We start from the raw sequence: 26327 nt of genomic DNA on the forward strand, positions 1-26327 counted from the left end.
CAATTTTAGATAATATTCAATAGCCAAAGCTGAAGCAATTTGAGAAAAAACACTCACCAATGATAATAATAGATTATAACCTAAGAATATCCATGAATTCATATTGATATTAAATGAATGACTGAATGCATACATGAGGGAAAGGAACAAGTATTTCTTTCATAATTCTAAATAGTGAATGTAGAAACAATGACAGAAATAGAAAATTAAACAGGAATGCTGTAATTAAAGGATAAAAAGAAGAGAGCATATTTGGAATACTTAAAGTATGTCCTGAAAATAATTACTGTGGTAGTTTTAACATTTGACCACAAGTTTTTGACTCCTTCTTTCGGGAAGTAGATTTTAATTCCCCTCTCTTTGTCTGGGACCTGGTCTTAGTGACTCACTTCTGACCAATAAAGTATAGAAAGGCAAAATCAGTAGTAACTTTACCATGGTGAAACCTGGCAAACACCACCGGAACCAAGCAACCAAAGCTAAACCACCAGGAATAAGTAATGTTGGTAAGATGTACCCCTGATGGGAAGGGCAGGACACCCCTGTGGTATTATTTCTCCAAATCTGTCCTATCAATCTAATCTTGAGAAACATTCTATTAATGCACACTGAGTAATATTCTGTAAAATACCTAAAAATTACCCATCAAAAGTGTCAAGGTTATAAAAAATATGGAACTGCTGAGAAACTATCACAGAATGGAAGAGACGAAGGAGACATGAATCATTATAAATAAGAATACATTTCCTGGAGCAGAAAATTAATGTAAGTGAAAACATTGTAGGATCTGAATAAACTCTGAGTTTGATGACTATTTTTTGCACTAATGTTAGTTTACTAATTTTGATGACCACGCCAGGGTTGTATGAGATGTTATTATCAGGGGAAACTGAATGAAGGTTATACAAGAACTTTCTGTTCCATCTTCATTACTCTTTTGCCAGTCTAAAATTATTTCAAAATGAAAGTTTAAAAAATATCTGTGGAATAATTTCTGTGCATTCAGAATCATTAGTCTGCCACCAGAGAATAACTGAGAAGAGTTTCTCCCAATCTGGTTCTGGACTTCTGATTTTATTGTCCCACCAGTTTTGCACAATCTGCTCAACTGTTTCTGCAGCCTATGTTCAAAGTTCTCTGATGACTCCACTTAGAATGATCACTTCTTTATGTAGAAATAATTTTGTTACAATACGAAAATAATTGTTTATTTTCACAGTCTTTTGTAGATTACATACTACATATAATACTCAGAATTGCCAGATAAAAGCCAATGCATATGATGTAATTCCTGGAATTAGTCCTGAAATGCATATATCTGTGTCAGTTAATGACTAGATATTGAGGCCTGAGAGGACATGGTACATTTTTCAGACTTCAGATGGTTAGATTAGAAGGAAACATAGGTGTGTATATGAGTGGGCAGAGATGTGGCTGGGAAAATGGGCAAGGGTCATATCTTAGAAATGTCGGTAGATCATACTCCGCAATAAGATTTTTACAATAGAAAGAGTGAAAAGCCATTCAGGGATTTTAAAGAAAGGAATAAGAAATCAGAAGCATATGTTAGGTAAATTCTTCTGCCAGTGTGAAAAATAATGCTCGAGTTGCAGGAGTGATTCTGAAGGGGTAAAATATATAGCTTCTACTAAGCAATTTAAAGAACTGAAACTTAAGAAATCTAAGTAAGGGTTGTTCTTTACCTAATATTTATATGGCAAAGTCATGTCTAAAGGTAATTGCTGAAGGAATAATCCTATATACAAATTTTGTATGTCGATAGTATATAAACAAAATTGAAAGATAAAAACAAACCAGAAATAAAATTGTCAGACATGTAATGCAGGCTTTTATTTCTACTCTTCTTAAAACTCATAAAAATATAGGAACACACCAAAATAAAAATTAACAAAGATTATAAACTGGATATTATGGATTGAAATAAATCATTCCAAAATTCATGTGTTGAGGTCCTTATACCCAGTAGAACCTCAGAATGTGATAGTATTTGGAAGTAGTGTCTTTGCAGATAACAAATTTAAGATGAGCTCATTAAGGTGGGCTTTAATCCAATTTGAATGGTGTTTTTACAAAAAGGGTTGGACACAGACCCATATACAAGGGAAGACACTGTGAGGGCGCAGGAAGAATGCCATCTGCCAATTGACATTATGGTGCCACAAGCCAAGGGACTACCAAAAGCTAAAATAAAGACTTGGAATAGAACTCTCCCTGACACTTTCAAAGAAAGGGAAACTCTACCAACACATTGATCTGGAACTTTTAGCATCCAGGACAGTGAGACAATACATTTCTGTTGGTACTTTGCTATAAACGAATACACTACTTTTTAACCAAAAAATGCAATATAAATGATCAGTAAAATATAAAAACATGTGCTACCATATTTGTTAAATAAAAATTCAAATTAAGAAAGTAACATATAATTTTTAATGGCCCAAGGTTTTTAAAATAATAGCGAGAGTGAGTATGTTAAAATTGACACTGTTTTATACTGCCCGTAGAAGTACAGTCTGTTAGACTGAATACATGTAAAGATACACTTAATGTATTACAGCACTTACTGTAGTGATAGGTATATTGTAGGAACACAATAAGTGATAACTATAATGAATAGTGTAATTATATATCTGTATTAAAATTATACATGTTGTATAATGATAGCAATAGCAATAAAGTCTCTCTTGATAGAAACTTGGCAAAATGTATCAAGGCCTTAATATTACAGGCTTTGGTCCATCAATTCCACCCCTGGGAATGTATTTCCTTTCTGTATTTAATAGTACCTTCTCCATGCTGAAGAGAAAAGGAAAGTAATTAGATGACAAAAGAAGTGAAAGAGATAAAAGTGCAAGGTGATCGAGAAGGACTGAAGAATGTTTGGGGTGAAAAGAATGAGGAGTATAATTTAGTTTTCTTGTCAGAAAAAGCCTTTCTTTTGAGGTGACTTTTGAACAGAAACTTGAATGAGAAGCAGAAGTCTCTCACAGGCAGCTACATGAGGAGTGATTTGTGACCTCCAGTCTGTGGGACCAATCAGAGCAAAGAGCCCAAAGAGTGGTGAAATATTCTGCCTTATTTTAAGTGAAGTGGGGAGGCCAAAAGAATTGCACAGATATGTCACTATGCCCCAACTCTCTTTCTCTCTTACACACACACACACACACACACACACACACACACACACTCTCAGGTTTTTACTATCTTTGCAATCATTTACTAATGTGCTATTTTTGAATGCTTAGTCTTCGAATCGTACAGGAGACTGTGCTATCAATCTACCAGTCTTCCAAACTCACTATAAACAAAAAAAGAACTTGAAAATTTTATTCTCATAGATGAAATAGAGTTGCTTTTTGGATATCAATAGGAGAGGCCCCTCTTAAGCTCTCCTGAGGGAGAAAATACTACAGTTTTGCAAAAGAATGAGCAAAGCAATTAAATTTACCCACAAGAGTTCACACACACACACACACACACACACACACACAAAGTCACAGTCGATAACATTTTTGTCTTGGGTTTCAAGGAATGATTAGAAGTTACACAAGTGAAAATGGGAGAATCATCTATTAAAGACAGGTTATATCATACATGTATAATTGCAGAAAATGTTTTATGAATGGAGAAAGGAGGAAAGAGAAAAGGGGATGGAAGGAGACTGTGCAGAGGAAGTAAACAGAATTTGGGTTGCTAAGTACCTGTGAGATTAGTGTGTAAAGGATTTTATATGTACTGATAGATAATAAAATACAAGCAGCAGGAATACTATATGGACTAAAGTATTTATTATTTTCCAGTCACAAAATTTTGAATATCATTTTATAATTAAATCCAGAACATGTTCAGGTTCTAAGCCTAACATGTATTTAAGGTATTGCTCCATACATTTAATGTATTGCTCCAGGAAAGACTCTGATGAAATCCTTGTTTCCATCAAAAAGAGTAATATGTCATATTTTAAACAAAGAGGTGTTTCAGTCTGTTTTGTGTTGCTGTAACAGAATACCTGAGTTTGGCTAATTTATAATGAAGAGGCTCACAGTTCCAAAGGCTGGGAAGTCCAATATTAAGGTGTTAGCATATGGCAAGTGCCTTCTTGCTATGTCATAACATGGCAAAAGGCTTCACATGGTAGAAGGACAAAGAAAGAGGGAGAAAGGGGGTGTCTAACTCTCCCTTTTATAATGAACCTGTTTCCACAATAATGAATGCATTCCTACTCTAATGGCATTAATCCCTTTGTTAGGGCAGAGCTGTCATGGCTTAACACCTCTTAAAGGTTACATCTTTTACTTCTGTTACAATGACATATAAATTTCAACAGGAATTTTGGAGGGGAAAAACAGCATTCAAGACACAGGAGGAGGAAGAACCCAAATCAGTGAGGTGGGATTTTCCTTTAGGTATTTTTTCACATTACTCTGAAATCTTAATTTTCTCCAAATGATGATATAAAAAATTGTTGTCCCATTTCTCTAAATTGAAATGTTATGCCTACAATTCTATTTTTAATAAAACTTTTTGTTTTTACTATTAGCTCTTAAAATAGTATTAATTAATGTGCCTTACTAGCCTTGAAGTCATTTATGACATTTTATGTATGTTGATGTATTTTTGCTTAAAATTGAACCTAATATAATAGTTATAAGAGTAATAGCAAACATTTATACAGGAGTTGGTATGGGCAGTAATTGTTCTAAGCGCCTTCTATGTATTCATTTATTTTTAGCCACTCAGAAACCCTATGAGGTAGTAACCATTGTTATTATCAGTTTACAGATGAAGAAACTGAAGTACAAAGCAGAAACCTACCCAAATCATGTATTAGATAGGTGAAATGTCAAGATAAAATCCCTAGATATTTTGTTTATTGAAAAGAAGAAATCTTACTGCTTAATGTAATTGTATATATTTTATATTATAAAATTATAGGAAGTGAAACCAGTGTTAGTACATTTTTCATAACATCTAACCTGATTTATCTCTAATTCTCATTTGGATTGAATGTCTAACATATTATTGAATTGATAAAAGAGAAATTTTCAAATCATTCGAGTTATTCTTCTTTTCAGCAAATTAGAATACTAATTCTTTGTAATAGACTAGAAAATAAAACAAAAAAAATACTCCTATAAAATCATAGGTTCTTTTGCATCAATTAACTGACAATTCTTATGTATGGTTGAAAACCAGCATATGGGAAAAATGCAGCAATCATCACTACTGACAAGGAGATGACAACAGAAGTACAGAGCTCAACCTCCCTGGGCCCTGGGAAGAGATCCCTTTGGAGAAGCAGGGTCATCTTCTTTTCTCCATTTTCTGAATTTTCATTTGGATTTTTCTTTTGAGTCTGATTTATTATTAACAAATCAATCAACCAAGTATTAATAAGGTGCTTATTAATAAACTTCAGAAGCTCTAACGGATCCAAATAAGTAAAAATATGACTATTTACTAATATCATGTTATAATTAAGTGAAAAAATGATATGGATTGCTGTAAATATACACATACTCAATTTTCATAAACAAGGCAGTGTATGACACGTGCTGAAATAATACAGATGCTTTACTTTCTAGCTGCTCTAAAATTGAAGCCATCACTCCTACTAGGTAGTAAAAAAGGTCTTCATTAAAATCATGTGGGAGAGACAGACAGAGAGAATTGTAATTTTATCTTCATTATGCTTACCTCACATACTGTGATTATTTTCCAGTCTTTAGGAATCTAAAACCATTTCAAGAGTCTCTGGGTGCAGGAACTTCGTTTCTACTGCTCCTCATCTTACTTCACAGGTTGCTCCCTGTTCTCTGCAGTGACCAGGATGCAAAGCTCAACCATTTCACACGTTGACACAAAACATGATAATTTAGTAGACTTTACTAAATATTCAACTTATGGTGGGTTGTTAGGGAACAAACATGGTACAACCGGGAAATTCCCACTCACTAAGTCCTCAGCCTCTCTCACCATTGCACTGCCTCCTTCTGTTCTCCTCCCTCTCAGCCTCTCCTTAACACTAACTGTCCAGTTTGCATCACACTCTCAGGCAGAACTCTTCTCATATTTTGATTAGAGTCTTTTCATTTACTGTAGTTGATCATAGAAAAAAAATTAAATTATAATCATCTTTGCATATCCTAATCGCAAACAGAAGAGTCTTCGATTTAATATGAGGGATATTTTTGTCTATTATATTAGAATCTCATCATTTGGAATAATGAATGAAATAAGTTCCAGAAAGGTATAAGAGAATTAGCAAAGACATTGAGGTGTGATGATCCATTTGAACAGAAGTAAAGTTATGATGCCAATACAAAGGTTGTGAGACATTTACAAGAGATGGTAAATGCCAGTTTAATTAAAATAAGGTTTATATCTTAGATAGCAGGGATTTATTAGACTTTTTCAGTAGAATATAAAAACAATTTGATAAATGGTAAATAATCTAGATCCACAGACTCCTGTTAAAAGGTCATTGTAATTAATATGACCTAAGTGATAATATCAGAAGACAATGTGGTACCATCAAGAGTCAAGAGATCAGAGAAACACCCTGAAGACATTGTCAAAATTTTCTATTATATTGAAGGCAGTAAAATGCTAGGTGCTCCTGGATTTATAACTTAAGTGAACAAACACATTCCTCTAACATGGGAGCTAATAATTTTAAACAGAAACCATTGCATACATATTTCTGAATAAAGCAATGTAAAGACAGGCAGTGTATCTAACTCCAAAAATTCTTTGAGAGGATCTCGTAGTATTGCCGTGTAATTAAGTATATCAATGATGAAAGTCTAACTTAACCTTGAAAATATAGAGTCCAGTTTCATGAAGTGAACAAATTCATGTTTGTAAATCATTAGCTTATAACATTGAATGACTCATAATTTTCTAGCATCAGAATAATAAAATCCAGAATCAAGAGGCAACAGAAGTCGTTCATTCTGTAATCCCAGCACTTTGGGAGGCCGAGGCGGGTGGATCACGAGGTCAGGAGATCGAGACCATCCTGGTTAACACGGTGAAACCCCGTCTCTACTAAAAATAAAAAACAAATTAGCCGGGCGAGGTGGCGGGCGCCTGTAGTCCCAGCTACTCGGGAGGCTGAGGCAGGAGAACGGCGTGAACCCCGGGGGGCGGAGCCTGCAGTGAGCCGATATCGTGCCACTGCACTCCAGCCTGGGCGACAGCGAGACTCCATTTCAAAAAAAAAAAAAAAAAAAAAAAAGAAGTCATTCATTCAACTGTAGTACTGAGCAACTACTCTGTGCTTCGGTACATCAGATTGACAACCCATGCGTGCTGAAGGGCTCATATTCTAATGGGAAAGGTGAGTAATTAGGAAACAAAAGAATGTTGATGCTTGTCTTGATAAGATGACTGCATTGAGCTGGGAGAAAATTACGAGGGGGAAGTGAGGAAACAGGTACATCAGGATGCTCCAAGAGGTGAATTGTTCTATACCTTATTGTTCTCTGAAAATCTGATTTAAGAAAGTATCTGTATGTTGTTCACATCACTGTATCTAATTACAACTTCTCTTCATGTATGTAAGATGCAAAGAGAGAATATGGGAGATTATTTCAACCTCAGTAAAAGTCTGAACCCAGAAAATAAAACAGAACTTCTAGCATTGGTATGTGAACCATATTGCTAAGCAGGAGTAAAGAAACTTTCTTATAATTACTGCATGAAGATATTCCTTTTTAAACCTATGACGCAAGGTTGCTGCAAACAAACTCTACCTGTTACTGAGGCAGCTTTTGTACCCGCTGAAATATCTTCAATTTAATCAGGAGTGTCAAAATCTTCCCTCGTTTTCTTACTGAATTTCTTCATTTTGAATTAATTTTATTCATTCAGAAAATATTTACAAAGTTTACGTCAAGGCAACATGCTGGAAGATTAGGACCTTGTTCATAGCTTTGGAGAACTTAACCAGTTAGTGAATTAGTGAATCCCCCACTCCCCAATCCCACCCCGCTTTTTATTTGCAAAACTTCTTGGTTCTCATGTATAGTCTTCACTCTATCCTTGCTCCTCTTAATTCTTAGGCTCTTGCTTTCTCCTCCTTCTCTTTCTTCCTTTATTCACTGAAAACCATCTAACTTTTTCATCTAGGTACTGTCTGTCAGTGAATAGTCTGCCCTGCAGTTCCACAAGCAGCACTAATGGAAACATATGCGTTTAGTAAGAGGACCTGGGGTGGGAGGAGGGTAAGGGAGGAGATTGTGAGGGAGCTTTGTAGGAAGCACTAAATCTGCCTTCTTTTATCATAGGTTAAGTAAATGTGAAAGGAGCCCTAGAAAGCTTAAGTGCTTTTTGATGGTGCTTTCTTCAGAAGATGGAGAGAGGAAAAAGAATGAGTGATGTAGCATCTTATGCAAGATGCACTTAAGGTCAGATCTCTATATTATTACTCAGCAAGTCTTCCCAATCTTGAAGACATTATCTGGTGGATTTACAGTCCACAGAAATTGTAACTTAGGCATTCTTTCACAAAATGCCTGGGAAGAGAAATATGTATTAAGAAAAAAATAAGAGTCAATCCTATGTCTTTTTAAAGATGTAGAAAGAAGAAACAGTGAAAATAGTTGAAGAAAAAAGCTCTATTTCAGGGATAATAAATAAAACATCATTATAACCTATTTCGCAGAACAATCAGATTATTTTGTGGCAAAGGTATTTTGTCAGATTACATACAAAACAAAAAGTGTATTCCCAATCTAAAGGAGATGCAGTGAAGATTTGTAGGCATTTACTAAGTGGAAAAAAAAACCCCACAAAAACAAAAACAAATGATTTAAGAATCAGTAATGGTTATTTTTTCTTTTCAAAAATTTCTGGATAAATTTTTATTTTGATAAATATCTCATTTTCCTGGAGGAAGAGATTGCCATAATAGGAGTGTGTGTGTGTGTGTGTGTGTGTGTGTATACATAAATACACACACATATACATGTATACATAATAGGATTGTGTATACTTATATGTAAAAGGTACCGATGGCTCTATCTCTGCAACTGAATAGTGTATTCATGAAAGATGCCAACTAGCGCAGGGGAAAAGAAAGTATCTTTTTTCACCCATCCCTAGGTTCATGGCTGAGGGCTTTCAAAAGACAAATTAACAAGAGAAAAGCATATAGATTTATATAATTAAGGTTTATGTGACATAACTGCCTTCATAAGAAATGAAGACCCCAAAGAAATGATAAACTTGTGTATTTTTATGCTTAGGTTTGAAGTAGGTGTGGCTAGTTTCAAGAACTATGGTTGGACAAAGGGAGTCTAATCTAATGGCAATAAACTGTGGGGGACTTAGCAAGCCCTGTTTGTTCAGGTACTTCTCTGTGTCTCTGTATCTTTAGTGAGAAGGATAATCCTTTCCTCTGGGTATAAGGAGGACACATCTTGAAAGAGAGTCTCATCACTCCTTGCAGGGGACAGGAGAGGAAGAAGGTCAGAGAGTGACCATTCAAATTTTTATGACCTGCTTCAAGGGAGAAGGACAAGGGGAAAGTAAGGGTGGCCTTCCTTCTGCTATTTTCCCAAATGCAAAGATGCTGTACCTTAGGGTAGCATGTACTGAACCCATCACTGGTGAATAGTATCCTTTGCCATACAACTAGAACAGAAGTTGACAGTCATTTCTGCTCTACCCATTGTTCCCGTGACAACTCTGACTGAGGTCTCTCCTTTCTCAAAGCAGTGCTCAGCCCAGCCTCTCAGCACTCAATCTTCTTTATTATACATTGTATTTCCTACTTTTTCATGAAGTCTAGGTGGCAACCTGAGACTCACATTAAAGTTACTGTCCTCTAAACACCTGTGTCTCTTACCGACTGTCCATCATCCAATTTGATCTATTTATTTTGTGACATTTTGTAATTTCCACTGTGCATTTCGAGTGTTGGTCAAATGGAAATAGAAACTTTCACAACATCAAACTGTGAAGAATATATTTATGCTGTTGTGCTTTCTGTTATCATAGTCCTTGCTTGGTAGTGTATTGTGGCTACGACACACTGTGCTAATCTAATCATTGTTTAAAACATGTTGCTTTTAAAAGGTTTACTACAGGGTAACTGAGCAGGGTGTCCATCCTTTGGACTTAATGAAAACTATAGAAATGTAGTGTCTTTTTTCCAAAGGAGGTATTCTTAATTATCGTTCCAGTTGTTCATTTTAGTATTTAATTTAAGGACCTGAAATTGTTGGGTAGCAATGAAAAATGAATCTTAAGTTTCTTGCTGTTTGCACAATTTTGCAGTGGTGAATAAAAAATATCAAGGAATATGTGGGAGAATCTATGACTGTATCTCTTCTAGCCATATCTTCATAAGGAAATCATTTTAAGAATGCCGACCACAGATTTTTAGCCTCATTTCAACTTCAAAATCACAAGCTGTACTGACAGATGAGTCATGAATCTCTTCTCTTCTGGTCTAAGTGAAGAAAAAATAAAACATCAGGAAATACAATGGTTTTATAACAGTGATTGTTTTATTTAGGTCTTGAACATGGGAAGGTATTTCATTCCACTATGCTACAACATAACAAAACATTCTACTTACATCTCAAAATTCCTGCCATGTCATTACAATTTATCACACATAACTTTTGGTATGTTTGTTTGGGGCATCTGATTTCTGTAACTCAGTGAAGCCTAATCTTTCCTTGTTTAATGCCAAGGGCAGATCCTGGGCAACAGAGTCATGTTTCAGAAATGTCAGGCATACTGAGGAAGTACAAACCACCAGTGGCAACTGCTCCTTATACTGTCCTCTGAAAAGCAAGCACTCAGGCGTCTCTAGGCCCAGCATCCTTGGCGGCTTTGTTCTTGTTGGAAGCAATTGCATACAATGACTTTAGTACAGAAGGGCATCTGATAAGTATAGAGTATTTTTGAAATGTGTTTTTTGCCTTGAAACACATCTGTTAGGTAGAAAGGGTGAGATTTTTTAAAAAATTTCCATTTGACAGACATGGAAGCAAATGCACAAAAATTATTCAGGGTGTACCTAAATAGGTCATTTATTTGTGACTTACCAGACCACAAACCTAACTCTAATATATCAATTATAATATTCACCAACTACTTAAGAACAGATTTTCAGAACACTTGGAATGGGAGAATAAAATTTACATTAGTTGTATGCATCTATTTTAACTGGTTTCCAATTTTAACATGTTAAAAGAAGCAATAGAGAGACAGAGAGCTGCCCTGTGGTAGCTGGTGCCAGGACCACAACCAAATCTCAAGGATTCTCAAGTGTTCAGTTTCCTTTGTTTCTTGAAAATGACCAGGAATATAGCCAATATTATAAGTAAACAGCAAAAGAATAAAAATATGTGTTTTTTTGATTCTAAAAATATAATGAAAGATGAGAAAACTTAAAAATATTTCAAGGTAAATTTTAACCACAATCTTTTATATGGAATATCATTCCTTGTTATCAAGCACAATGTCTCAACTTAAAAAAATTTAATATATCCAATTCAGATACTACTTACTTATTTATGGTCTTAAAGACCCAAATGTACTCTAGCTTATTATTGTAGTAGACATCCAAAAGAAAAAATGCAAGGTGGTTAAAAATTCCTTTCTGTAAAATGGTTTTTAAAATTTTTACTGAATAAAACAATCTTCTGGATGTCTACTACAATAATAAGCTAGAATGCCTAAATACAAAAAATATTGATAATAAAAGTTTTCAAAGGCATGTACATTTGGGTCTTTAAGACCATAAATAAGTAAGTAGTATCTGAATTGGATATATTAAATTTTTTTAAGTTGAGACATTGTGCTTGATAACAAGGAATGATATTCCATATAAAAGATTGTTTTTATATAAAGAAAGTTATGCAAAGCACATTTTCTTACAGAGTTTATGGTTTCGTTAATGCAAGTGATTCACATTTATTGTCTACTATGAGCTAAGTTTTCTTCACATGCAGCCTTTCATTTAATTCTCACAACAGTTTCCCAGAGTTGAGATATACAGAGGTAAAGCTATTTGTCCAAGGAAAAAATATAAAAAAGTAGTAATTGGCCAAACCAGGATTTTATTTCAGATATGTAAGCCTTCAGAAGTCAAATTTTTTTCTTCATTTTATTCAGTAAAAATTTTAAAAGCCATTTTACAGAAAGGAATTTTTAAGCAGATGGTGACATTGAAGAATAACAACCTTAGAATTTTTAACAGCTCATTTGTAATGTAATTTTGTATTTCAAATATTCAATAGTCAATAGAAAAAGTGAAAAATACAAGACTGAAAGCTGAATTAATGATTTGGGAAATCAAATGGCAAAGTTTCCCAGAACAAAACAGTACACTATGAAGATTCAAGAATGACAGGAACAAGGGAAATTTAGAAGAAATCCAGGGAAACTACTGAACAATAGGCATTCTGGAAGGCAATGAAAAAGACATTATAGGAAACACACAAACCATGAATAGAGCAATCACATTGGTTGCAAAAGAGTTGAGGTTTTAAGTCATGCCAACCTAGTGCCAAGTATGATTAATGAAAAGAAGGTACACACCAAGACCTAGCCTGGTGCAATTTCATCCACTCTAAGGATGAACTGAAAAAGCATATAAACTTCATGAGAGCAAAGTAGAGTCAATTTTGATCACACATCACATCTGCACCAATGAAGTCTAGAAGACAGTACAATTCTCTGAACCAAGAATTCTTCAATTTGTCAAGATATTAAAAAAAAGAAGAAGAAAAAAGTTAAGCAAGAAAGCAAGCTAGCTATGCGTACACTTATACACATACATACACACACACACACACACACAGACTATACATACTCTGGGACAATGTGTATATAATCCCTTATATATCTCTATGAAAGGGATATAGACATTCTTAAAAAATTACTCAAGAAAACACTAGGGTTGAATGAAAATCATGTCATTTTTAATTCATATAAAAAAATCTCAAAATAGAGGACAGTTTACTAAGAAAGCACAGTTAAAAATGAATCTAGTAGGCCACACATGGTGGCTCAGGCCTATAATCCCAACACTTTGGGAGGCCGAGGTGTGAGGATCACTTGAGACCAGCCTGGGCAACATAAAGAGACCCCATTTCAATAAAAAATAAGAAAGAAAACTAGCCAGATGTGGTAGTGCACACCTGTAGTCCTAACTACTTGGAAGGTGACGTGGGAGGATCGCTTGAGCATGGGAGGTTGAGGCTGCAGTAAGCTATGATCATGATCACACCACTGCACTCCAGCCTGGGTGACTGGGCAAGACCCTGTCTCAAAAAAAAAAAAAAAATCTAATAGAATTCACAGTTAATCCAAACTGATGATGACAGTATGGTTGTGAACACAATTCTTGATATGAGAAGCATTTGGTAAAAACAAAAACAAACAAAAAAGATTACAGTTTTACAGTTCACTTAATAAAACATAAGAGTTCATGAAGATTGGAAAAATAAAGAAGAAAATAAGTATGTCCTGAAGATTTTGTGTTAGAGGAAAGACTTATTAATTGCTTTCAATGGACAGTATTAATAAATAGACATATGCTTAACTGTTGTCATTAAAATCATGAAGAAAAGCAGAGGAAATTGTATATGTATATGCATAAAGACTTGAAATTATTGACTTGAGGAAAAACAGACAAATTACTTTATCAAGTAATACAAAAAGGAAAAAGAAAGAATATTGAATGAGAAAAGTCAAATAGGACAGGATGAATAAACTCAAATGTATTTATTATAAGAATAACTGTAAATAAGTTACAATTCTTTATTGAAAAATGGAGACTTCAGTTGGGTTAAAAATTTCCAGCTCTATCCTGATTGCCAGAAAAAAGGCAGATCTTTGAAAGTAACAAAGGACGTTATAGGCAAAGATATCTCCAGGGTGTCAATTAAAATGGAATACTTTTATCTTATGATGAAGGAACATTTGTATTTATTGAGTGTTATGTTGCAAGAAGTCGGTTTGGGGAAAAAGATTTTATTATCCTTGTTTTACAAATTAAAAAATAAGGTACACAAAGCATAGACGATTTACCTGTTGACTGGTACTCATATAAATATAATTTTCTTTTCTTTTCTTTTCTTTTCTCTGTGAGACAGGGTTTTACTCTGTCACCCTGGCTGGAGCGCAGTGACACAATTACAGCTCACTGCTGCCCCAAACTCCTGGGCTCAAGCAATCCTCCCACCTCAGCCTCCAGAGTAGCTGGGACTACAGGCACACACCACCATGCCTGGCTAATTTTAGTTTTTATTTTTTCATGAGATGGGACCTTGTTATGTTGCTCAGGCTGGTCTTGAACTCCTGAACTCAAGCAATCAACCCGTCTTGATATCCCAAAGTACTAGGATTACAGGCGTGAGCCACTGCACCTGATCTTGAATAGAATTTCTTTATGAAATTTGACTCACAATTCTTTATGTTATTTATTACACCAAACTTTATTATTTAAAATACATGGTTAAGCACTTGCACATATTTATAACAGCTAAGCTATTATGCATAGAATTCACTACCTATTCCTAACCTTTAAATAATCAATATCAATATTTTTATTCACAATAAAAATACTGTAATCAGATAGGTATCATAATGACACAGTGGCTCAATAGAAGAGAGAACCAAAATTTATCCAAGTGTAAATGGGAATTTTATATGTGATATAGATTAAATTATCTGCTGGCTAAAAAAGGCAATACTGATTAATAATAGTGTTGGGCAATTGATGATCCATTTGAAAAATATAAAATTAGATCCAAAGGTATACATAAGTGTATTTGCATTGAATTAGAGCTCACAATGTAAAAATTGTTAAGTAAATAAATAAACAGGGTTTGATACAAATATCAGGGTATTTTCATAATTTGGGAGTGGATAAGATCTTTTTACTCCTAGAGTCCATAAAGAAAAAAAAACTGAACTACTTTGTTGCACAAAAATTTTGAAGCCTCTAAAAAGACAAAAAAGGAAGATAACATATTGGGAAGAAGATATGATCTTATTACTCTTAAACAAAATGATCCTAAAATGTGGAAGAAAAATGTAAACAAACATCTTAATGAACAAAGGATGTGCTCAAGAAATTTAAAGAAAAAGAGCTATAGAAGTCTGATAAACTCATGAGTAGATGTTCACTCTCATTAGCAGGGTGCTTCAGGGGCCAAGCTGCCAGTGCAACCACATAGATTCTTGCACTGAGCAGGCTTCTTTGCATGGGGTTTGTTGCTCTGAAGCCATCATCTTGGAATTTTTTTAAATTTTTATTTTATTTTTTATTTTATTTTATTTTATTTTATTTTATTTTATTTTATTTTATTTTATTTTATTTTATTTTATTTTATATTTTATTTTATTTTTGAGACGGAGTCTCGCTCTGTCGCCTAGGCTGGAGTGAAGTGGCACGATCTGGGCTCACTGCAAGCTCCGCCTCCCGGGTTCATGCCATTCTCCTGCCTCAGCCTCCCGGCTAATTTTTCGTATTTTTAGTAGAGACGGGGTTTCACCATGTTAGCTAGGATGGTCTCCATATCCTGACCTCGTGATCCGCCCACTTCAGCCTCCCAAAGTGCTGGGATTACAGGCGTGAGCCATCCCACCCTGCCCATCTTGGAATTCTTATAATTTTACTTTTGAATTTGGGTTTTGTCAGTGAATTCTACTGGGACAATGGAGCAAACGCCGGGAACTTGGAGTTTCAGGCCAGATGAGACCCACCTCGGGCCTTCTTCCTGCCTCCTTGCTACCTCCCTGGGTTTTTCTCCTCACCACCCCGCCACCTACCGGGTGGGAGGCAGAGATCAGCTTGTGTTGGCAGGGAAAGCCCCCATTTTGCGGTTGCCCTCCCTGCCAGCAGGGGGCATACTCATGGGTACTGAAAGGGGCGAAGTGCGACACATTCCCCAGGTGGTCTCTGGGCGGGACAAAGCAGTGGCTATCCTGCTGCTGGCTGCATCACTGCTTGTTCAGCGGGCTACTCCGCGGGGCTCGCGTCCAGTTACTATGTGCCCAGATGTAAAGGCAGCAGTCGCTTGAAAGTCACCCATCTGCAGTGGCAGTGTGTCTTTCCTGATTCCAGGTGGGTCCCTGCATTTTCATTTTGTGCTGGGCTCCACCAATCACGTAGCCAGTCTTGCTCACTAGTAGTTAAGGTAAGGACTTTAACAACTACAACACACTGTGTTATGCTTATCAGACTGACCAAAAACAAAAGAAAACAGAAAAGGCAACACTCAGTGGTGTTGTGAGGGCGTGGAGAAATGGGTTTCTCTCACATGCTGCTGGTGAGACTGGAACAAGCTTTTTTTTTTTTCAAATTTTTAAAAGCTCTTCTGCTGCCTCAGCAATTCCACTCCGGGAAATGTTTCAGACATTAAAAGTAGTATTAATTCAGGCCGGGCGCTGTGGCTCACGTCTGTAATCCTAGCACTTTGGGAGGCCACGGCGGGCGGATTGCCTAAGCTCAGGAGTTCGTAGCCAAGCCTGGGCAAAACGGTGAAACCCTGTCTTTAGTGAAATACAAAAAATTAGCCGGGCGTGGTGGCGGGCGCCTGTGGTCCCGGCTACTCTGGAAGCTGAGGCAGGAAAATGGCGTCAACCCGGGAGGCAGAAGCTGCAGTGAGCCGAGATCGCGCCACCGCACTCCAGCCTGGTGATAAAGCGAGAGGCCGTCTCAAAAAAAAAAAAAAAAAGCAACATTGATTCTAAATAAATTTCGAAGATGTTTATTGCATCATCGTTCATGGAAGTAAAAATCGGGTAAAACCTGCATTTCCACCTAAAGAGGAATGGTTAAGTTGGTTCATTTAAACTGTGGAATGCTGGGAAGCTAGTTAAATGAAATGGAAAATGTATGGCTCCAATAGTCAGGTGAAAAAACGCACAGAATATTATGTTTACTATAACTGCAGGTTGTGAAAAAAATAATTAAAAAGCTATATATGTTTTATATATGACTGTATTAGAAGAGCAAAATACACGGAATAATAATAATGTGTACTACACTGACAGTGGTGGTAAAGTCTGTGGGGCAAGGAGTAAGGCCGAGGAAGGCAGAGGCTCATGATTTTAAAATTTCATGTTATATATTTTGGCATTTAAGTGGTGTGAACATGTTTTACATTTACCTTAGCAAAGCATATGAATGGAATTATATATAGTTGACTCTCTGTATCCATGGATTCAGCATCTGTGGATTCAATCAAATGCGAATTGAAAATATTAGGGAAAAAATTTCCACAAAGTTCCCAAAAGCAAAACTTGAATTTGTCACCCTCTGAGTACCAGGTTGAATCCATGGGAATGAAGTGCTATGTAGGCATTGTTTAAAGTATAGGGGAGGATGTGTGTAGGTTTTGTGCAAATTTTATGTAAGCGACTTGAGCATCCTCGGATTTGGGTATCCTCCGGGATCCTGAAACCAATCCCCCAGGGATACTGAGGAATGACTATACATGTATATGTGAATAAATGAATACATATATATATATATATATATATATATATATATATATATATGTATATGATATGTTTTCACACGTGTACAAAAGAGGCACAAAACCCAAAGAATTGTATAACTTCTAATTGCATAGGAATTTAGTTGCACCAAAATTTATATGATTTTTGAGAGTAGACCAATGACAACAGTGAGCAAGCTTTTTTTTTTTTTTTTTTTTTGAGACGGAATCTCGCTCTGTAACCCAGGCGGAAGTGCAGTGGTGCGATCTTGGCCCACTGCAACCTCCGCCCCTCCAGGTTTAAGCAATTCTCTGCCTCGGCCTCTGGAGTAGCTGGGATTACAGGCGCGTGCCACCACGCCTGGTTAATTTTTGGTATTTTTAGTAGAGACGGGGTTTCACCATCTTGGCCAGGCTGGTCTTGAACTCCCGACCTCGTGAGCCACCCGCCTCGGCCTCCAAAGTGCTGGGATTACAGGCGTGAGCCACCGCGTCCGGCCAACAGTGAGCAACTATTAATAGTCTGTGCTTTAATGAATTCTGTGATCTGATTTTAAATATTCATCATGGCATCACTTTGAAGAAAACAAAGACAGGCAAACATTTTCCTTGCATAATTCTCCTAGGATTTAGTGTTGATTTTTTTTTAACTTTCTGGGGGAAAAAAGCCCAGATTTTGTGGAACGTGTTGATTTTATATAAATCTGTCTGTGGTATTCTAATACACTCACCTAAGTCTTTAGTCTAACTTGTGCTCTACTTCTTCAGTTTGATTCTAAATTGATAAGCCCAGGAATGGCGTCTCTTTCATTATTATATTCGTAGGCTGTTTCAGGCTTACTTTCTTTAAACAAAATCCCTATTTTCCTAGGTTTAGATTTGATCCTCGATGTCTTAGATACTGTCCACTGATGCCAATACCCCTTTTTTAAATTTTTATTCCAAGGGACTATTCAGAACCTTGCCAGATAGTAGCTAATTTAGCCATGCTGCAAGGAATAGAACCAACAATATTCTTTATCCAAGAATCAGAAAAAAATATATCCTTATAAATTTACCTCTATGAGTTGAAGGACATAATTCCTTTTATATTGATTTAACAGTATTCTTTTCTGTACTTTAAAAATATTTTGCTAAGGGTGGAGATAACGTCACCAATTACACTACCCATTGTTATCAGAGAAAGCACCTCTGGCACTGAAAAATTTTATCTAAATAACCAATATTGCTGTTAAAATTATATATGACTTGAGGACATGCAAGATGGATATGCTGCCTCTCTCCCATTCTGCTCTGAGCTTAGCATCATGCTTGTCACATAACAGGCTTTAACTATGTGCCTAAATTTTGGTTATCATGTAAATTTTGACATCATTTTTAATAAAAGCATGCACAAAAGGCAGAGTATTGCTTTATCATCATCCAACTCACTTTATACCAAATCACACACCACCTAAGGTCGTGAGTTGAAAAATAATGTGAAATTATGGGAATGAGAATAACATGGACATCCTTGCATGCTGATGCTGTTTATAGAAGAAATTTGGAGTATGTTTATTGCCATAAAGGTTCAGTAGAACTTTCGCTCTCCGTGTCATGGCATCCATGTAAATGTTAGTAACCCAAAATTTCTTCTACCTTATTTCAGGTGCAATATTTAGGAGTGCTCTCAAAAAAAACCCCAAAGCTTTCTATATGCACATAATTAATATTTCTATGAAGACATTACTTCTCTTTGACTATCTAACCTTATTTGATGGAGGAGAAGTAAGGGGGTTTATGACGTTCCTGTTGATTTTTATTTGTTTTTGTTGAGGTTGAGCCAGTGCCCTCTGACATGAGATTTTTGTAGACAAAAATGTTTTTTGATGTTTCTTCTTTCCATTAGATGTGTAAATTATTGTTCTACAGTCTGTTCTATTAAGCTTCGTGACTCACTACACTTATTCACTTGCCCTCAATCCTTCTCTCTCTTTTCTTCGTTAGATATTAACTAGAACCTGCTTTCTAACTCTGGGCAATTAAAGGGACATAGTTAATCTTGGTAGCTAAATGTAAGGTGACAAAATATGCAGTAATATCCCTTTAGCACTCCATTTATTCCAACGTGATTTCTGAAGAAAAAATTCCATAGTTCATTTACTATATAACTAGAAGTGAGATTGGGAGCAAGAACAGCTCTCCACAAAAAGAATCTATAGTTGTTATCAAATTATTTTTAAGATAAAGAAAGATATTTAGAATACTTTATTGTCTGAAGATCTATAAGAAATAAATGCTGTCCCTCAGCTATTGTCAACTCTATAGTGGTAAATATATTTAAAATTTAAGAATGAAAAGCATTAAGTCCAGCATTCTTACTTTCTATCTCTCTTACTCCCTCCTCATTTTTCTCCTCCCTTCTTCTCCGCTTTCCTTGTTAATTTTTATCTCCTGTTACTTTGTAGTCTCAGAAAATACAATTTTGCTTGACTTTATCCACAGTGTGGTTATCGGATGAAAAACTCTTTTGGTAAATTTGGTAAAGGGTTAACAGATACACTTATTTATACTAAGCCACTCTTTACTATCCTGGTATTTAGGACTCAATTATTTTCTTAAGGTTCTAAACATTGCAACAGTTTTCATTTTATGTACAACATTTTTAGGGTCAAAATAATTTTAGCTGTAATCATATTTTTGACATGAAAAAATATTCAGGACTTTAGTCAAATTTGAATTATTTAGGAGTTTATATAGATACCTCCAGTGGTTCTCCATTCAAATAGATTTTATGTATTATTTGCATTAAATTAATTTTGTTACAAAAAGAAGAGCAAATGAGGAAGAAGTAGATTTTTGTATTTTATATGCATATGCCTAAATTATTTAAACACTTAGACTTATTATAAATAAATACGTTATTTGTGATTTTTAACATTTGTAATTTCAGTTGGAATTATTAAGGCCCTGAAAGAGTTAACATATATGGGAATGTCTATAAAAGTTCTCAAAATAATTTCTCCAATATAATTCTATGAAGACTACTGCTAAGGTTTTAATTTAAATTTTCTTACATTATCAGATGCACCAAATACAAAAAAGGTTATGATAACGAGTCTTCAAATTGTATTTAAGGAACCTTCTAAGTCTTTGCAGAAATATACAATTATGTGAAAGCTCTGTGACCAGAACTTTGCCATTTAACGTTTTTACTCTGAGGTTAAATTATAATGTTTCTGCCTAGACTTTCTATGATGCTTAGGGATTTTTTTTTGTAAAGTAGCATTATATTAAAATAATATTCATGTAGGTAATGGAAATAAAATAACAAAATTAAAAATGGAAGAACTGTAAGGAATTATCCCAGACATCATCTGGAATGAGTCCTCAGGGCTCTCTCTGATCTATAGAATGTTATTGCACCCTTACCATATATATATATATGACTACATAACTATATATATATATGACTACATAACTATATATATATAGAGAGAGAGTCATATATTATGTGCATCTACTACTGTCAGCCCTGTTTTAGTTTAAATAAAACAATTATAAAAGAAAAGCTTATTCTCTTCCTGTACTCAGTTGGAGTATTTTGTGGATTCTCTGCCTGTTGCTTTTATTTGTTTTAAACTGGGGATATACAAAATCCTAAATACCAAATTTGAGAGATAATTAGAATGAGTTATTTTGTTAGTTAATTACTTGCACAATCTAGTTGGAAAAACAAGTTGACTCTATGTCCAAAAACTTCTTTAACATGTGATTACCTTCCTAATAATTTAAGTAATTTCATGTATCTCTGATTGTCAGCCAAATAAACATATCACTCCCACTTACTGAATATCCATTAAGCACACGAAAAAATGTGAACCAATTCTCTTATATGTAGAAAATAGCTTGAGGTTATAAAGCCTTAAGAGTTTCTCTGTGTCCTTGATAGTTGGCTCGGAAAATCAGATGATTCAATATAACTGAATATGCTGTGCCACTGTGTTTTAAACTAATAGGAATAGAAAGGAGAAGAGGTAATGGAAAGAAACGATTCAAAAACACCTCTAGAGAGGAAAGGTCTGTGTCAAGGAGCCTTGGCAGTGAACCAACAAGAAATCTGCAAGGGCTTGTTGAGTCAAGGCTTTCCTGAGTCTGTAGTTCATGTTAATTCCTGTATTCATTCATTCAACAACTACTTATCGAATGCTTACTTTGTGATAGGCACCATGCCCTCATGCCCTCTGCTTCCCTCGCACAACCTTCTTCTGAGCCCCAGAAGTTCATTCATTGTCTTATGTAATTTTCACTTAGACAAATTCATTCTGACAATTTCACTGCATTCATTTCACCAAGGTTCAACACGTCTGGATTTTATTTTTATTAGTTGTAGGAAATATATTACAGCAAATAAAATAAAAAAAATGACTATGCATTTGAGATCCCTCTGGGACAAAGCAGCATCATCACTAAGAAAATCACAGTTAAGGAGAAAACAGTCTCTAAAATACAAAAGAATATTCTTTTGAGATATAAAGAATTTACTCAGAATTTAAACCAATCTTTGAAGATTTTTGGTCAGTTGTTGATGTATATGCTTATATGGTAACATTATTTAAATTGGCAAATTGCTGTTAGTCTTCTAGTTATTACAAGTACTCTTTGTGTTTGAGTTTGTATTGGATTCCAATATGAATTATAATTCTGGTAATTTCACATTTAAAAGTGATTACCATACAACATGAGCCAAAATTTCCCACAAAGAAATCATGCAGTATTTTCACCATGCTTTTATTATGCTTTGTGTTCTGTTGTGCCTCTGTCACATATGTTAAATATGTCATATAAATGTTTTGTGTATATGAAGGAAGTCTTAACCCAAGAAATAATTAGTTTAAATATAATGATTAACAACTGGGAACAATAGTTGTCTCTAAATATTCTTGAGATTCATTGGTAGCATGTTTTTTACGTGCAACTGGTAACAGTTATTCTCTAGCACCACATTATTTTCCTAAGCTGGAAAAAAACCCAAAAAGATAGAATACTATCAAACCATTGCACCATAAAATATGTAAGCTACTTGTATCTCTTCCAAAACCTTATTATGCTATAACTAAATGCATTTAAAAGCTGTAATTGGTAAACTTGAATTATAACAGAAAACATATTGAACCGGAAATATAATAACAGAACACTGGCATTACTGAATATTTACATTGTGCCAGGGACTAAGCTTTATGTTTTAGACAAACTACTTAGTTTAATCTTTACAAAATTACTCTGAAATTATTTTATTAATCATATTTTACATATGAGAAACTGAGATTTTTTGAGATTCAGTGATGTCACTGATCTAGTAAATTATAGATCCAGGAAAATATCTAGGAGTGTCTGACTCTGGAATCTTCTTTTTTTACTTAATCATTGTTGCCACTCTATTACTTTTATTTAACAAACCCAATTCTGAAAGGGATAGCAAGTGTCACTTAGATGCAGTGAGACCCTCATATCTTTAATAATTGTCAATTATTGTAAAATTATATTATAGGGTTTTTAGTTAGAAGATTCTGTTAAAGGCTTATAAGACCAGTTATCTCAACTGAAAAGATCTAGCTGCATTTATTTTGTGCACCATGGAAAGCTGTGCCTATCAGTTGCAGAGGTGACTGTTGATCATATATGTTTTTTGGGAAGAATGGTCTTCAGGGATTGGTGGATTTTCAGGGGAATAAGTGGGTTGAAAACTGGATGAGACTTGTTGATTGGTTAGCATCTAAGGTGGATGAACCTTGAGACATTATGCTAAGTGAGATAAGCCTGACACAAAAAGAAAACTACTGTATAATCTCACTAATATGTGGAATCTAAAAAAGTGTAGCTCATAGAAGTAGAGATTAGAATGGTAGTTACTCTGGGATGCGGCAGGGGAGGGTTGGGAAGATGTTGGTCAAAGGGTATAAAGTTTTAGTTAGATAGGAAGATAAGTTCTAGAGATCTATTGTACAACATGGTGACTACAGTTGATAATAACGTACTGTGTACTTGAAAATATACACTTGTGAAGCATCTATATGTTAAATGTTCTCACCATTAAAATTACAAGTATGTGGCGTGATGGATATGCTAATTAGCTTTATTTAATCACTCCCCTATATAATATATATAACATCATGTTGTGCCCCATAAATATATGCAATAAAAATAAAGACAGATATATAAAAAAGTAAAATTCTCTCAGATTTACTTGAATATTTAAGTTAAATAAAACATTACAAATCATGTTAGACACAAGTCTAAAAACAATCCTTTGTTTTACCACAATGGCTTAATACTGTATTTTGCCATCATGTAAACAAGATTTTGTTCTCTTGTTTCAGTCTCTTGATTCTACTCTCAAAATTTATTGGTTGTTCTCAGGTAGTATTTGTCTTTTAAAATAGGAAATATATAAATATATAGAAGAATATAACTAAATGAAATTCTCCCCCAAAATTACATTTGAGACTGCACAGACATTATCTTTTGGAAATTTAACATGTATCACATAAAATATTTTCATATGAGAGAGATACTTAGTCTTTCCATGTATTCAGGTAACATTTTGTGACCTTTGTTGAATTTAAATACATTGAAATAGTTCATTTCATGTAGGTCTTCTGCCTCTCTTACCAACTTTATTCTTAAATTTTAAAGTTTACATATTGACTTATAATTGAAAAGACTTTCCCTTTTCCTTTTCTAGGAAGAATGCTAATACTACTGATGAAGAAACATAGCTTGTATGAGATATATTGTTAAACTGTGATACATGGGGGAAAACAACACTGAGATTGTAATAAATAACCTAATTTTATGGAATCGCTAGTTGATTCAAAGAGTATGCTTCTTTTTACAGTCACACTACAGGATCATTTTTAACTTACTCAAGTACATCAACCATTAACCTTAGTTAATTTAGCCACATCCAATAGAGACAGTTGTTACTTTTACATATCATTTTTCTTTGGTCAGATTTTAAAATATAGGTTTATCTAAAGACAGGGAAATAAGGAAAATTGCTTCTCAAGTGTTTTGTACTTTAGAATTTCCGCAATGCTACCATCTACTAATTATACTTTATTCTCAAAATCTTGTGAGATGACCTTAATTAATTAAATGAATGTGGAGTGGTTGCTACTATGTACTAAGCACTGTGCTGTGTCCCAGTGGGTTATAAATGTAAGCCAACCATGGTCCCTGCCTTAGTAAATCTGAGAGTCTATTGCAGAGAATAGTACTTTCTTAAATGCTAGTAAAACCCTCTCTCTATGTATATACTTAAATGCCTTCTGAATTTATAACTTTTTTTGTGTAATCAATTGATGATAATATTAAATGAAAATGAAACTACTACACATTAATCAACATGAGCTAATTAGGTCACTTTGGAAAAAAAAAGCGTGCGGATGAAGCCATGGTGAGGTATTTGATAATCAAGATTAATTTATTTAACACTTTTCTATGATTGTAGACTGAACTCTTAAAGCTAGGCAATTCTTATAAGGAGGATTTTGCCAGAGATGGGCGATGTTTCAACACATATCTCCATTCCTAGAAAATATTTTTCAAGTTAACAAGTAGCATTATTTTTATCTATACAGGGCAAAATATCTTCAACAAATAAATATTAATATTTTCTTTAAAATGTATTGCCGTGAGAAAATCACTTTCTTATGGTTGGGGGACATGCCACCTATGTCTTTGTCTCTGATCTCATCCTGTGTAATACCCATTGCAGGAAAACTCTGAAGGAAACATAGTATCTCCCACCTGTATAGCAATAGCAATCCTCCTTCATAGAATTAGGACTACAGCTTCCAACTCTGCTTTTCCAGTGTTGTGTTTTATTATGTGACTAAAAGTTATGTCAACATGAAAGCAATAATTTAACAAATGTATTTGAATTTAGCAGACAATCAGTATCCTCATTTACAGGATATAAATTCAGATAACAAATCAAATATCTCCAGAATAATAGTCATCCACTATCTTTTTCAGGTATGATGTAACGTAACAGTGTTATATTAAAAAGTTGTATTTTTGAAATTTGACGTTAAAAAATTGGCAAAAAAAGACCACAGGGTAAACATTTTACTGATAAACACCATATAACTTTTAGAAAGCTCAAAGATTGTATTGGTAATTTTGTACCTATTATTATATATAATAAGATGGCTCATTATATAGAAATTTGTTACTCTGTTTAGTTTTCATTTTCTCTCCCCTTCAAATCTCTTGTGACTGCCACCATTATTATTATCATTATTATTTAATTTGCAACAGAGTAGAAAGGGAGACCCTTATTTGCTGGGTGCCAAGCAAGGAATATTGGGGCAGTTCATGCTTAAGATCAAAACTTCCCAGTGGCTTGAAGGTAAGGGTTTTTAAAGGCAGGAGTAAATTTCAGAAATGTGGAAGCTGGATATCTTTTTTTGAAATTTCAACTTGTATTTTAGTTACAGAGCCTAGATGTGCAGGTTTGTTATGTGCAAATATTACATGATGCTAAGGTTTAGGGCATGGAACCCATCCCCCAAGTAGTGAGCATAGTACCCAATAGGTAGTTTTTCCACCCGTGCCCTCCTCTCTCTCCTTCCCCTGTCTGATAGTCTGCAGTGTCTGTTGTTCCCATGTTTATGTCCATGTGTGCTCAGTGTTCTATTTCCACTTATTAGTGAGAATATGCAATATTAGGTTTTCTGTTCCTGTGTTAATTCAGTTGGGGTTATGGCCTACGACTCCATCCATGTTGCTGCAAAGTACGTGACTTCTTTCTTTTATGTCACTCTGTAGGATTCCTTAGTGTATATG

The sequence above is a fragment of the Homo sapiens genome, chromosome 4 (assembly GCF_000001405.40).
Source record: "Homo sapiens chromosome 4, GRCh38.p14 Primary Assembly".
In the NCBI taxonomy this organism is placed as follows: domain Eukaryota; kingdom Metazoa; phylum Chordata; class Mammalia; order Primates; family Hominidae; genus Homo; species Homo sapiens.